General features: G+C 41.8%; 1 long non-coding RNA gene and 1 pseudogene across 2 annotated transcripts in view; both read right to left on the bottom strand.

Moving 5' to 3' along the window:
- Window positions 1-1,650, bottom strand: part of FAM167A-AS1 (FAM167A antisense RNA 1) — a 70,256-nt gene extending 68,606 nt beyond the window's left edge. The window contains exon 1 of the long non-coding RNA NR_026814.1: window positions 1,600-1,650. This is a non-coding gene — a long non-coding RNA (FAM167A antisense RNA 1). The remainder of the gene's footprint in view (window positions 1-1,599) is intronic.
- The window catches only part of TDH (L-threonine dehydrogenase (pseudogene)), a 28,816-nt pseudogene continuing 16,332 nt past the window's right edge, over window positions 1,600-14,083 (bottom strand). Inside the window, exons 2-9 of the transcript NR_001578.1 lie at window positions 13,761-13,947; window positions 11,874-11,916; window positions 10,768-10,838; window positions 8,517-8,666; window positions 8,245-8,417; window positions 5,063-5,332; window positions 4,264-4,469; window positions 1,600-1,773 (exon numbers count right to left, since the gene is read on the bottom strand). The product of NR_001578.1 is annotated as an L-threonine dehydrogenase (pseudogene) (transcript). The remainder of the gene's footprint in view (window positions 1,774-4,263; window positions 4,470-5,062; window positions 5,333-8,244; window positions 8,418-8,516; window positions 8,667-10,767; window positions 10,839-11,873; window positions 11,917-13,760; window positions 13,948-14,083) is intronic.

The following is a 14,083-nucleotide window of genomic DNA, read 5'->3' as shown; positions in this document are numbered from 1 at the left end:
AGAAAGAAAAAAGATCATCTGCTCTTAACCTATTAGGGGATGCCAAAGGGGGCACCAAGATCAAATACGAAGTCGGAGTGACATGCCTGAAATGCGAATGTGAAGAGGGAAAGCCCACATGCTGGTTAATAGATTAACAAATCTGAAACACCTGCAACTAATAGTACAGGTGTCTATTTTATCCTCTCATCTACAATCCTAAACTTTATATATGTAAGTTGGCTAAAAAAAAGTTTTCTGGGATCTTCACATTGGAAGGTAAGGGGTGGCCTGTTTAGCTACCTTATAGACAAACATACTAAAGCTATAAAAACAGTGCCATGAAATAATTTTTTTTAAAGTGACTACCCTAAAAAAAAATCATTAAAAAACAAGATTCCTTTCTCACCGGTGATTTTTGGAAGCAATTCACTGATTTAGAGGCAGTTATCATCCGGTTATGTGAGATCTAGGATTTATTCACTCACGGCTCTTGTATTAGAATGTTAAGATTCTCCAGCAAAAAATGAAGTTTATATTCTTCAAACCTTTTAGAAAAATAAAACTTTCAACTGATCCTGTTGCCTCAGCCTCCCAAAAGTGCTGGGATTACAAGTATGAGTCATTGCACCCAGCCACAAAAATAAAACTTTTCAACAAATGTAAACCATACTGAGGTCCATGAATATGTGCCAAGAGGAAGGTGTTGATGGTCGAGAATTTCATCACAAATTAATCCAACTCGTTCCGAAGATAAATTTGACCACATAAAATGAAGAGGCAAGTAGGTGTTTACGCCCTGTGACCCAGTAATTGTACTTCTAGGTTTCAGCAATTAAATAGAATGACATCATTATGATACTCCATTCAACGAGTTATGCAGCTATCTTTAAATGGCAAATGTTAAAACTACATGTAAGTTCTTTGTAACGCATAGAGGACTGGAGAATATTTTAAAACAGCTACCATGTGACATGGCAAAAATTGAAAGTGAGTCTTTTCCAAAACTTTTGACAATATTGTCTTAGCACTACTTTTATAGTAAAAGAAAAGAAAAAGGTTTCACCTTCCACTCCTAGATTGTATAAGCACAGGAGAAAATAAAAGGTATACACTAGTTTTTTTGTGTGTTGTTGTTTGAGATGGTCTCGCTCTGTGGCTCAGGCTGGAGTATGGTGGCGCAAGCATAGCTCATTGCAGCCTCAAACTCCTGGCTACAAGTGATCCCTCAGCTTCAGCCACGTGAGTAGCAGCTACAGGTGTGCATCACCACATCTGGCTTAAATTATTTTTGTAGAGATGAGAGTCTTGCTATGTTGTCCAGGCTGGTCTTGAACTCCTGGCTTTAAGCAATCCTCCTGCCTCAGCCTCCTAAAGTACTGATTACAGGTGTGAGCCACTGCACTGGGTCCCACACTACACTGCTAACATGTTATTGATTGGGTTTGGAGGGGAAGACAACTTTATTATATATCTTTTAAATTGTCTGAACTCTTAATAAACATTTTTTTAAAATGACAGAATTTAAAGCATTTTCTGAACACCCTTACCATAAAATACAATCACAAATTGGTGATTTGGCCTATGTGAATTAAAAAATACTAAATATCTCCCACCTACCATAGTAAGTGTCCAAAGCACTGCAGTAGCTTTCACTAATCCAGTCTGTTCTGGACTCCAGGCCATCTATCTTGCTGGCAGACTTCGGGATCGCTGTTTGTGTAGCAACACAAGGCACATCCCAGCAACGCCACACACAAACATGTGAGCAGAAAACTAATAACCACCGGTAGCCTGTGTAAAACATCAGAACAAAGCCAATCTTTGTATTCTTTCTTTTTTATTTATAAATAAACTATTTTTGTGGTTAAACCCACTTTTCCTTCAAATAGCTTTTTGGGTTATTTCCAAATTAATCATAAAAAACCCTTTCTCCCAACAGAACGGAAAGCATTTTACAGGAAAACATTGATGGGCTCCGGGATCCCAAGATGTGCACCAGATACTGAGTGTTCAGACAGAAGGGACAACTCTAATTCTAGTCTTGGAGTACAAAGATGTCAGTGAATAAGAATCATCCAAAGAAGCTGAAGCATTCATTATTTTTTCACTCTTATTTGAGATCTCCTGGAGGTGTGTTTACAGATTGGGAAAGATTCAAGGAACCTGTTTGGAACAAACCCCTCCAAATGATCCGAATTAAAGGTCATTCTAGGAGCCTGGTAGAAATGCTGGAAGGTTAGGGTCTAGGAGACAAAGGTCACTCGAGTTGCTGCTTCTTATCTTATGAAAGGGAAGAATTGCTTGTTCCTTTAAGATAACTGAGAATAAATTAATCAAACTTAAGAACTGTTTTTTAAACTATAAACAGTAAGCAATCATTTTAAAACTCAATTATCTACCCAAATGTTCACAGCAGCATTATTCATAATAGCTTAAAAAGTGCAAAAAACCTAAATGTCCCTCAATGGATGAATGGATAGAGAAAATAAGAGGATTACTCATACAATGGAATATTACTTAGCAATAAAAAATGAAGTAGTGATACATGCTAAAACATGGATGAACCTTGAAAATGGACTGCTTAATTAAAGAAGCCACTAAAAGACAACCACATTCCACTTACATAAAATGCTCAGAACAGACAAACCCAGGGACAGAAGAAGTACATTAGTGGTTGCCGAGGGTGGGAAGGGCTTATATAATATGATTTCTTTGTGGGGTGATGAAATGGCCTAAAATTAGATTATAGTGATGGTTGCAAAACTTTTTAATACATTGAAAACCACAGAACTATAAATGAGTGAATTTTATGGTATGTAAACTATATCTCAAACTTTCAAAAAAAGAATTCATTACTAACTTTCTGATTTTAAAAAATAAAATCTTCCTGCCTCTCAAGAGCAGCCCAAAAGAAAAATAACAAAAAAATAAAATCTACAAACATAAACCTTATTAAGTGGAGGAAAAAGCTACAGTAATGTAACTGTTAAACAATTCAATTACCTAAAAGTTCTCCAGTTAATAGTCAAATAGATTTTAAATCCAGTTATGCCTTCAAAAAAATCCACGCTTTGACCTAACAGTTCAAAACTCCAAATGCATAACATTTTGTTATTAAGCATGCAACATAAATAAACGCCTTTTAATCCTTGATAGCTGTTATCAAATATATCCATGATTAATCTGTGGAACTGGAAGTTTCACTTCCTAGTGATTTTACATGCAGTACATTCCGAGGTCGCTGGAAAAAAGTTAACCTGTACGTGTCTATACAGTATTGCACCAGAAATATTTTTTTAAATGACCGGATTGAAAGCATTTTCTGAACACACTCATTCCCTTACCATAAAATACAATCAGAAATTGATTTGGCCTAACTTCAACTTAAAAAGTTAACCTGTATGTATCTATACGGTAATTGCATCAGAGGGTTTAGAGTAGCCCTTCTGAAAGCTCAACCCAGGAATATCTTAAAAAAAAAAGATGCAACAAGAAAGTGCTCTTTAGAAAACTGCATTGGTCTAAACTGGTCTGACTAGTGGGCCTCAGCTGGATTCAAATAACCAGTGGCACCTGGCACTTAATGAGTGAATCTAAAGGGATGTAGCCCAGAAACCTGTGTATTAGACAATCTCCCTAGATGCTGATGTTGCCAGGTCAGGGAATTATGTTCCTGGGAATTACATTTAGCTCACTAATAGGAGGGCAATCAAAATAAGAGCAGGGCTACCCTTCGCTGGTTACATCATCTTTGAATTCTTAATTTCCCACAGATCTAGCATCTTACAGAAAAACCAGAAATTATAATTTTTGAAGCAGTGTCAAAATATCTTGAATGTGATAGACATGGGATGAATACACCAAACATGTTTTACTTTCGCTGGGATAGTAAAGAATACTTATAAATGAGGAGTACCTCTTTGAAAGTCCTTAAAATGTAATCTTTGGTCTTTAGTCAAGAGAATAATCGAGTCTTAAGAGGAATATTTAAATTGAATTTAATTAAACACAAATGTCACATACTCCCAGCTTCCCAGAAATAGTCACTTCATCCTAATTAAGGAAATGGAAACTAATGATGACTTAAGCCTTATTCTGTGGAATGTGTTTAGACAAGTTCAGGCAAACAGCAAAAACTGAAAAGTCCCACCACCATACCTACAACATTCTGAAAATGCTTAAATGTTAACTCCATTCTTTGTCTAGCAGTTCAATATGAGCTGCCAAAATTTAGTCCAATGAGTCAGTTCCAAATAATGTAGGCTCCTTGGAGTCTATAACCTTGGAGTTGTGACAGTTCTCCCTTGACAGTGGACCAGGACACAGGAGCTCCTCTTCCAGATTCTTTCAGTTGGCTTGGGCAACTCTGCTTTCAGAACCATGGAAGTTCAACATGGCAGTCACCAACTCTGGAAGATCAAAGTCGTGTTTCCACCCCCAGTCCTTCCGAGCATTGCTGTCATCAAAGTTCATCGGCCAACCATCCGCTAGGAAAAGATACGCAAGACTAGCTTAAGTTATTCAGGTTGTGGATTTGCAAAAAGGTCTTGACCATTGTATATAAAGGTCTACCGTACAAGGTACAAAACAGGAAATTCCTTCGAGTAAAGCAGAACCGCCATTATGCACAGTCACCCTCCTAGGGCCGAAGACTATTAACCCATCTTTCGTCAGGCACTGTGAATTTTCACACATTATCAAAATCTCACACAACTTCATAAGAAGTTTTATACTCAAAGAGGTGCTTCCATCCACAAATTGGCAAAGTTACAGTATTTGAAAACCTGGGGCTGTTTTCATACTACCTCTGTTGCTTCTATTTTTCCTTGCTTTATGTTTAAACTGTAAAAATGATGAAAGGCTAACAAGCTGTTTATTTGGAATGGAATGATTTCACCCACTTTAGATATCATTCCCCAAAATCAAAGCATCTGCTAGCTTGGGCTCAACAATTTCTTGGGCTAGGCTCCTTCTCCAAAAGGTGTCTGGACCCTTGGGAAGGATCTATGCTCTCTTCAACCTTCCAAGGTTTACATTCTCCAGGGACTCACAGTAAAGGCCTTTGCCACCGGGTACGAACCTATGGCCTGGCGAACGGCATCCACGTTGTATGTGATCTGGAATTCCGGCACGTGCTTGAGGACCTCCTGGGCCAGCTCCTCGGGTGTGAAGCTCATGGCGCTGACATTGTAGGTCCTCATGGAAAGGGACTCAGCTGGGGCCTCCATGACCTCCAGGGTGGCTCTGAGGCAGTCGTCAATGTACATCATGGGCAGTCTCGTGCAGGCTTCCAGGTTGCACTCGAATTTGCCATGCTTTGTGGCATCATGGAAAATCTGGACTGCATAGTCTGAAAGGGAATCCCGTATGTAGGTTATAACAAAACAATGAATGAGCCTCTTGGATCAAGGCAGCAGTTCTCAAATGTTCTAGTCTCAGAGTCTTTTTATAACAGATTCTTAAAAATTAAGAAGTCCAGTCAAGCTCAGTAACTCAGGCCTGTAGTCCTAGCACTTTGGGAGGCCGAGGCAGGCAGATCACCTGAGATCAGGAGTTCAAGACCAGCCTGTCCAACACAGTGAAACCCCAGCTCTACTAAAAATACAAAAATTAGCCAGGCGTGATGGCACACATCTGTAATCCCAGCTACTTGGGAGGCTGAAGCATGAGAATCGCTCAAACCCAGGAGAGATGGAGACTGCAGTGAGCTGAGATCACGCCACCGCACTCCAGCCTGGGTGACAGAGCAAGACTCCATCTCAAAAAAAAGAATTGAGAACTCCCAAAGAGATCTGACTAATGTGGGTTATATCAATATTTACTGAAACAGAGTTAACTGAGAATTGTTTAGAATATTACCTTTTTAAACGACAATAAGCCTATCACATATTAATATGTATAACATTTTATAGGAAAAAGGGTATATTTTCTAAACAAACAAAATTTACTGAGAAGGATGGTCTGCTGTACATTCTAAAAATCTCTTTAGGGTCTGGCTTGATAGGGGTCCGCTGGAGCCCCCATCTGCTTCTGTATCCAGTCCGTTCTTATCTCACACGCCACACCACCTCTGGAAAACTCTACAATGCATTTGTGAAAGTAGAGTGAAAAAGGCCAGTAACGTCTCCATATTGATAAGATTTTTGACCCCCAAGACCCCTTGAAAGTGCTGGAGGATGACCGGAGCTCCCCAGATCACACCTGGAGAAGCACCATATTAAAAAGCAGAAGCTTTTTAAGGCCTGCTTCCAAATCCCTCTGATGCGGTCAAGTACCTTCCATATTCATTCTCAGGACCACAGATGTGGGAAGGATACCTGATGTGGGACTTATGAAACAGAATGAGTGTTTGAGTCCAAAATAATAATCATACTTATGTTCCTTTCACATACACAATGCCTAGAGTCTATTTTAATAGGGCTCTCTCTGCGTGTTAAGAAACGAGAGGCTGCTGCTTGCTGGGGGTCTTCCTACACTGTGAGTCACAGATTTGTTGTTGAATATTACGTTTTATTCTGCCACTGTGGGTGGCCAATCCCGAGCTGAACTGACAACGCTGGCATGTGCTACCCTTAGTGAGTGTAAGCCAATTGGGTTCACTGTGCTTTTAAAATGCATATCGGGAGATATTACAGAAAAACTCTGGTCAGCATACAGCTAAAAAGATAGCAAATTCATTTACTACGAAGACAACTCCACCTAGCAATAAGTCAGTCTATTTTTTTTTTTTTTGGTGGGTGTTTTTTTGTTGTTGTTTTTTATTTTTGAGACAGGGTCTCACTCTGTCACTCACCCAGGCTGGAGTGCAGTGGCACGATCTCAGCTCACTGCAACCCTGGCCTTCCGGGCTCAAGAGGCCCTCCTGCCTCAGACTCCCCAGTAGCTGGGACTACAGGTGTGGGCCATCATGCCTGGGTAATTTTTGTTTATTTTTCATAGAGACAAGGTCCCACTGTGTTGTCCAGGCTGGTCTCTGGCTGGAGTGATCCTCCTGCCTCAGCCTCCCAAAGTGCTGGAGTTACAGGCATGAGCCTCCGCACCTGGCTGGAAAGCCTATCTAACATATAAGAGACATAAGAAATAGAAAACACTTAACCAGTTGTTCCTCCTCCAGGCTGGGAGTCAGCTGAAATGATTCCAGGATATCTCAGGCATCAGAAATCTAACCCATACCGGTAATGATAATACCATGAAAAAGAGAAAACGTATTCAAACACAAATATTTTAAATCAGATAGATGCAAAAAAAACAAAAACAAAAAAAACCAAAAAACACCCTGCCTTTTTCTGAAATCTCATTCCATGCAGTTATATTTAAATACTCCTAAAGAAAATAAAGACTCCTAAGTTTTTATCTTTTAAAAGAAATCAACTTTTAGGTGGTACATCAATGCTGTAAATGACACATTAGTCTACAGTAGGCATTTCCAGCCACTCTTTGGAAAGGCGCCACTGATCATCATTCTGAACGATTCAGCCTGAGTGCATTCCCACAAGCAGCACGGGGAAAAGCAGAGGAGAGAACAGTGGATGAGAGGGCCATGGCTATGACAGAACTGGAGGAGCAGGCAGCAACTCGAATCTACTAGAGTTATAAAGATAAAGAGTATTTTGCAGTAGTTCACACCTATAATCCCAGCACTTTGGGATGCTGAAGTGGGTGGATCACTTGAGGTCAGAAGCTTGAGACCAGCCTGGCCAACAAGGCAAAACACTGCCTCTACTAAAAATATAAAATTTAGCTGGGTGTGGTGGCACGTGCCTATAATCCCAGCTACTTCGGAGGCTGAGGCATGAGGATCCCTTGAACCCAGGAGGCGGAGGCTGCTATGAGCTGAGATCACGCCACCACACTCCAGCCTGGGTGACAGAGCAAGATTCTGTCTCATAAAACAAACAAACAAACAAAACAAACCCAAGATGTTTGAGGTTTTAGAGTTACTACCAATGGCTACCAATACTAGGAGCCAGAAAGAATGGTGGAGTACAAGACAAGCAGCAAATGAAGAGATCGGGGCTGGGCACGGGGCACCCAGGAAGTGCTGAGTGTTCCCATATGGCTGAGGAGGTTTCAGGAGCTGGAGACACCTGCTACATGGCAAACCCAGTGAGTTAAGTAAGCGACTCTGGGGCTGGGATCCAAGAAGAGGTAAAGTTCCTCCAGGGATGAATCACCAGGCCTTGGAGGCAAAACGAATGAGAAAGCAAACAGCAAATCGTGACAGCCAGGGCACATTCAGCAATCCAGCTGAGTGATGCTTACTTCTCCCATGAGCTCCGCGTGGACCTTGGACACCCCATAGATGGTCCTGGGTCTCTGAATACAGAGATCGGGGGTTGGGTTCCGGGGAGAGGTGGGTCCAAAAGCCCCAATCGTGCTAGGCACAAACAATTGCAGATTGTGTTCCGCAGCGACATCCAGGATGTTATGCAGGCCTGAAATGAACAGACACTATCAGAATCTGAAAACATCTCTTCTTAAAGAACTAGAAAAACTGGCAAATAAATCACATCCAGCCAGAGCCAGATGCTTACCAGTTATATTCACTGCTCTCGCCAGGGAAACATTTGCTTCTCCAAAGGCGCTGAGCAAAGCGCTGTAATGAAACAGCCAGGTGATGCGGTTGTTTACCACGATCTCCCGAAGATTCTTGTAATCCAAGATATCAGAATAAATGAATGGACCTGCAAGGAACATAAATTGAAACCACGAACGTGAAAAGGGTTGTGAACTAAATGGACCTTTCCCCTTTCCCCCGTTGACTTGTGAATTTCACTGGTAGCCACGCAATAACTAAGACAGCTGGGCACTAGGCAGCATTTTTCTTACGGAAGAATCACAAGTCACAACCACCCCGCGCCAGGTAATGACAGCAAATGCTCCTATAGGACCTGCCTGGGCCAGACCCTGTCCTAAGGACATAAGTCCATTTCTTTCCCACACAGCCTTGGAGGTAAACACATTTTACTGATAAGGAAACAGGCACCGAGAGGTTAAGCAACTTGCCAGGATCAGAGAACAAGTGGAGGAAATGGGGCTGCAGCTAGGCATCGGGCTCCAGAGTGGGTGCTGTTCCTCCCAGCCCTGTATACACAGAGTGGCTTCACTCTGCTTCCAAGGTGCACATTTGAAAAGGAATAGAGAAACGGACTTATTCACCACCACCACCACCTTGGTATAGAAAACCCACAAACCATGAGTTTATCATACTTAATTACACAGAGGTAAAGTTGATCTTGCTCTGTGCCAATTTTCCCCACTTACAGCAAACTGTCACTCTTCCCCATGGTGAGCAGCAAAAGGCTGATGCTGAACCAGGAAGGACTGGGGGCATTACAAAACCTTATTTTTGGGGCAGCGGGGACAGAGTCTTGCTCTGTCGCTCAGGCTGGAGTGCAGTGATGCAATCATGGCTCACTGCAGCCTCCATCTAGTGGGCTCAAGTGGTCCTCCCAAGTAGCTAGGACTACAGGCACGTGCCACCATGCCCAGCTCATTTTTAATTTCTTGTGGAGACAGGGTCTCACTATATTGCCCAGGCTAGTCTTGAACTCCCAGACTCAAGTGATCCTCCCACCTCAGCCTCCCAAATTGCTGGGATTACAGGTGTGAGCCACCATGCCTAGACATAAAAACATTTTTGAAGCAGTAAAATCCTGATTAGAAGAGCTTGAGAGGTGTGTGTGTGTGTCTGTGTGGATGTGTGTGTATGTGTATGTGCGTGTGTGTGCGTGTATGTGTATGTGTGTGTGCGTGTATGTGTGTGCATGTGTGTATGTGTGTGTATGTGTGTCTGTGTGTGTGCGTGTGTGGGTATGTGTGTGCGTGTGTCTGTGTATGTGTGTATGTGCATGTGTGTATGTGTGTATGTGCGTGTATGTGTGTATGTGCGTGTATGTGTGTGTGAGTGTCTATGTGTGTGTGTGTGTATGTGTCTTTTCGTTTCTATTCTTGATTTTTGTTTGTATTCTCTCCAAGTCAATAAGTTAACTTAAAACACAAAAAGACAGGAAACAAAGTTTTCATTTCCAATAACATCAAAATATATTATTCCAAAAACTTCAAGGTCAAAAGAATTCTTCTGTTCTTTTATCACTTGAACAAGCAGCAGCATTAAAAATATATATTTTTTTATTATACTTTAAGTTTTAGGGTACATGTGTAAAATGTGCAGGTTTGTTACATATGTATACATGTGCCATGCTGGTGTGCTGCACCCATTAACTAGTCATTTAACATTAGGTGTGTCTCCTAATGCTATCCCTCCCCCCTCCCCCACCCCACAACAGGCCCCAGTGTGTGATGTTCCCCTTCCTGTGTCCATGTGTTCTCAATGTTCAATTCCCACCTATGAGTGAGAACATGCGGTGTTTGGTTTTTCGTCCTTGCGATACTTTGCTCAGAATGATGGTTTCCAGCTTCATCCATGTCCCTACAAAGGACATGAACTCACCATTTTTTATGGCTGCATAGTATTTCATGGTGTATATGTGCCAAATTTTCTTAATCCAGTCTATCATTGTTGGACATTTGGGTTGGTTCCAAGTCTTTGCTATTGTGAATAGTGCCGCAATAAACATACGTGTGCATGTGTCTTTATAGCAGCATGATTTATAATCCTTTGGGTAAAATACGTATTTTTAAGTGAAATACCAGTGCCTCAATAACTTCTCTTTGAGTCATAAATTCAGCTATGAGCTGCTGCACGCACCAATTTCACGAGCCACCTCTTTGTGCCTTGAAAATTAGAGATAAAAATAAAAGCAAGACCTATTGATCTCTTACCACTGTGAAAGACATGATCGGGGGGTTTCCTTATGTCAGACAAAATCACACTGTCCTTTCCAAATCGTTTCCTAAAGGGAAAATTAACCCACACAAGTTGGCAACATCTAGAATGCAATGAGTCCTGTGAGAAGTCTTTTAAAATAAGAACTGTAATTTTCTGCCAGCCTCCAAATCTCTACTTCCTCTTCATCCTCAATTCCCACACCTTCAATTCTTATCTCTCTCACACTCAGGCCTCTATTTCCCTGCCCACGACTCTCTCTTCTGTTTCTCCTCTCACCTGACTGTTAACCCTATGCTTGTCACCGGTTTCTTCCCATTACCCCCCAGAGTTTTTACCTCTTCCTCATCATTCTTCTTATCTTCTCTCCCCTCTTCTTATTCTCTTACCCCATTCTCTCCAAATCCCACACTCTTCCCTTCCAGTTTGCACCTGTACTTCCCTTGGTTCTCAAACAACTAAAAGTCAAAGTGATTCACTGGGAGATGTGTGTCTCACTTTGCCTAAGTTAGGAAACAGAAAGAGAGCAAAGGACCAGTCTGGAGATGTTAAGTCAAGGGCCTACGACAAGTCTGGGATATTCAGAGGCAAAATAAAATGTATTTTAGGCTGGGCACAGTAGCTCACATCTGTAATCCCAGCACTTTGGAAAGGTGAGGTGGGCAGATCACTTGAGGCGGGCAGATCACTTGAGGCCAGGAGTTAGAAGACCAGCCTGGGCAACATAGCGAGAGCCCATCTCTACCAAAAATAAAAAAAATTAGCCAGGCGTGGTGGTATGTGCCTGTAGTCCCAGCTACTCGGGAGGCTGAGGCAGGAGAATCACTTGAACCCAGGAGGTGGAGGTTATAGTGAGCCGGGATTGCACCACTGCACTACAGCCTGGGTGACAGACTGAGGCTCCAACTCAAAAAAAAAAAATCTGTATCTATATCTATATCTCTATATATCTATATCTATAGCTATATATAGCAGTTATTTAGATATATCTTAACAATGGTAAGGAGCAAGAGGAGAGAGAAAAGAAGTTTAAAAGGCATCCCAATGAGCTCCATATACTTAACAACTCAGATTTTAAATTTCAAGTTTTTAGGGCTCTTACCTCAAAAGATTAGCAAGCCCCACTCCCAGCTGGCCAAGAGCCCCTAGATGAAGAAGAAAAAAAAGTGAAGGTTTAATGCAAATCTAAACAGTTCAATTATTCCCAGAATGTAATAACTGAGTGAGACTAGTTTTCAGTCTTAGCTAACTACGTAAGTCCTAGGTTGCACTGATATAACTGCTGCTTACTTCCAATCTTCCCAGGAACGTGGTGCAGCGCTTAGAAATGCAATGATCTCCCCCATGCTAGGACAGAGACCAATACAGGTAACATTCGTTTCAGAGACAACACTTACCAGCATGGAGTGGTTCCGAGAAAGAGGAGAAGCAAGGGCATTAGAAGAGAAAAATCTCATGAAAGCCAGACACAGGTCTGGAATTTCTTGGGGCAGGAACTCAATCTTGGCCTTCATTATTTTCATGAACTTTGAAGCTTATCTGCTATGGGTGACAAAATCATTCAAAACCAGTATGAACAGATTCATATCCACCTCTGGTGACATGAGGCAGAATCCCATCCTCCATTAGAAGTGGACTGGGATATGAAAGGGAAAAGAGGCAGGGAGAAACCAAGAAGTCATTTGAAAAAGGGGCAGACAACTGAATCAACAAGGCACCACTGAGAAAGTTAAAGTGAATAGTGCAGCTTCTAGTTTGAAGAATTAAACATGCCACTGATAGAAACGGGAGGCCAGTGGGCTAGGAGCACATTTGGGTAAGGACAACAGTCCATTTCATTTGAGAGAAACTGATGAGGCAGGAAGATATAAAAGTGGGACTTCCTGTAACCATTTGTTAACTTGGGAATAAAACCAGGACACCCTGAAAGATGCATCATTAGGGGAGGTGAGAGGGAATAAAACAAACACTCGGACAACACGATGGGTGAATCCGAGGAAAGGCAGAGAGGGACATCTACTAAGCTTGAAACTTATTTCAGCACCAGAAGTGGACAAGGCAGTCAAAGAGTACACACACACACAGACACACGAAAATGAGAAGGATAATGCTGTAAAACCAAGGGAAGAAAGCCTGGCAAGAAAGAGAAAGAAGTAAAACATGTCCATCAAACTGGAGGTAGGTTTGGGCTGGCTGGAAGTGACAGAGTAAAGTCTGGAGTGAGAAGGATACAAAATCAGGGGCTGAACATATTTGAGGTGAGGAGGTTCAGGGAGCGAGTCACTGGCAATGATGACCTCAATGGCAACAATGAGCTCAAGGGCCATGATGGGCTCGAGGACAACAATGAACACTGCAGCAACAAGTCCCTTGACCAGACGCTAACTTACCTTCTCTATTTCCAACATGCAAATGTGCAATAACAGTTTGGGATTAATGACTCTGAGTTTAGGTTCAGGACTCTGGCCAAGGAACAGCGTGCCTAACACCAGAATCAATGTTCTAGCCCCAGCACCCTCCTGTCCACTAGCCTTCACTCCCCAGACTGATCCTAATATGGAAGGAAACCAAGTTCCAGAGCAGCTATTTGGCCCCCAGTTTCCTAGATTCCTTCGAACAACAACAAAAATTACGGCAGGCAAAACCAAGTGCTGGCAACAGTGATGAAATAAGGATTTGGATTTGCAAAATTCTAAGAAACAAACAAAAAAGCCAATAGTGAAAAAGACAGTGTCTGATCAATAAGATCAGCTGCTCTAATTTAAAACTTTTGTATTATAAAATACCTCATTCTGAAATCCTTTTCATAGTATAGAGAATAGATCCAGATTCTGTCATCTGGCCAAGCCTGTTTTTGCTGCATTATCGGCTACAGAGACAGGCAGTATGGTTCAGATAGCATATTACACATTCCAAAAGCAAAGGCACAGACACATAGCACAGGAAAGAATCAAGCCATGCAAATAGAAAAAAGAAAAGAAAAACTAACCTGTAATTAAGACTCGTGGATGGTCTGTGTCAGAGAAAGACGCAGAGTGGAAGTTAGCATCTGCTGGAATTTGCCGAGGGGAGATGCCCAGAAAGCGGACCGGCAGGACAGGCGTCCAACAGCCACAGGCTGGGCTCTGCCCCGCTCGCCTCAGCATCCTAATGAACAGCATTTTCTTTTCAAATACCTTGTGAGAAAAGAGCAGAGTTAAAGATGTGAACTTTTATCCCTCCAGCTCTTCAAAACAAACTCTTCAGCTAAAATGAACGCTAAGATTGTCAGCGAATGAGCAAAGCTATGCTTTTATTTTATTTTATTTTTTT

This window comes from Homo sapiens, chromosome 8, assembly GCF_000001405.40.
Source record: "Homo sapiens chromosome 8, GRCh38.p14 Primary Assembly".
Taxonomy (NCBI): Eukaryota; Metazoa; Chordata; class Mammalia; order Primates; family Hominidae; genus Homo; species Homo sapiens.
Note: the sequence above shows the minus strand (reverse complement) of the source record. Positions and strands in the feature narration are given on the sequence as shown.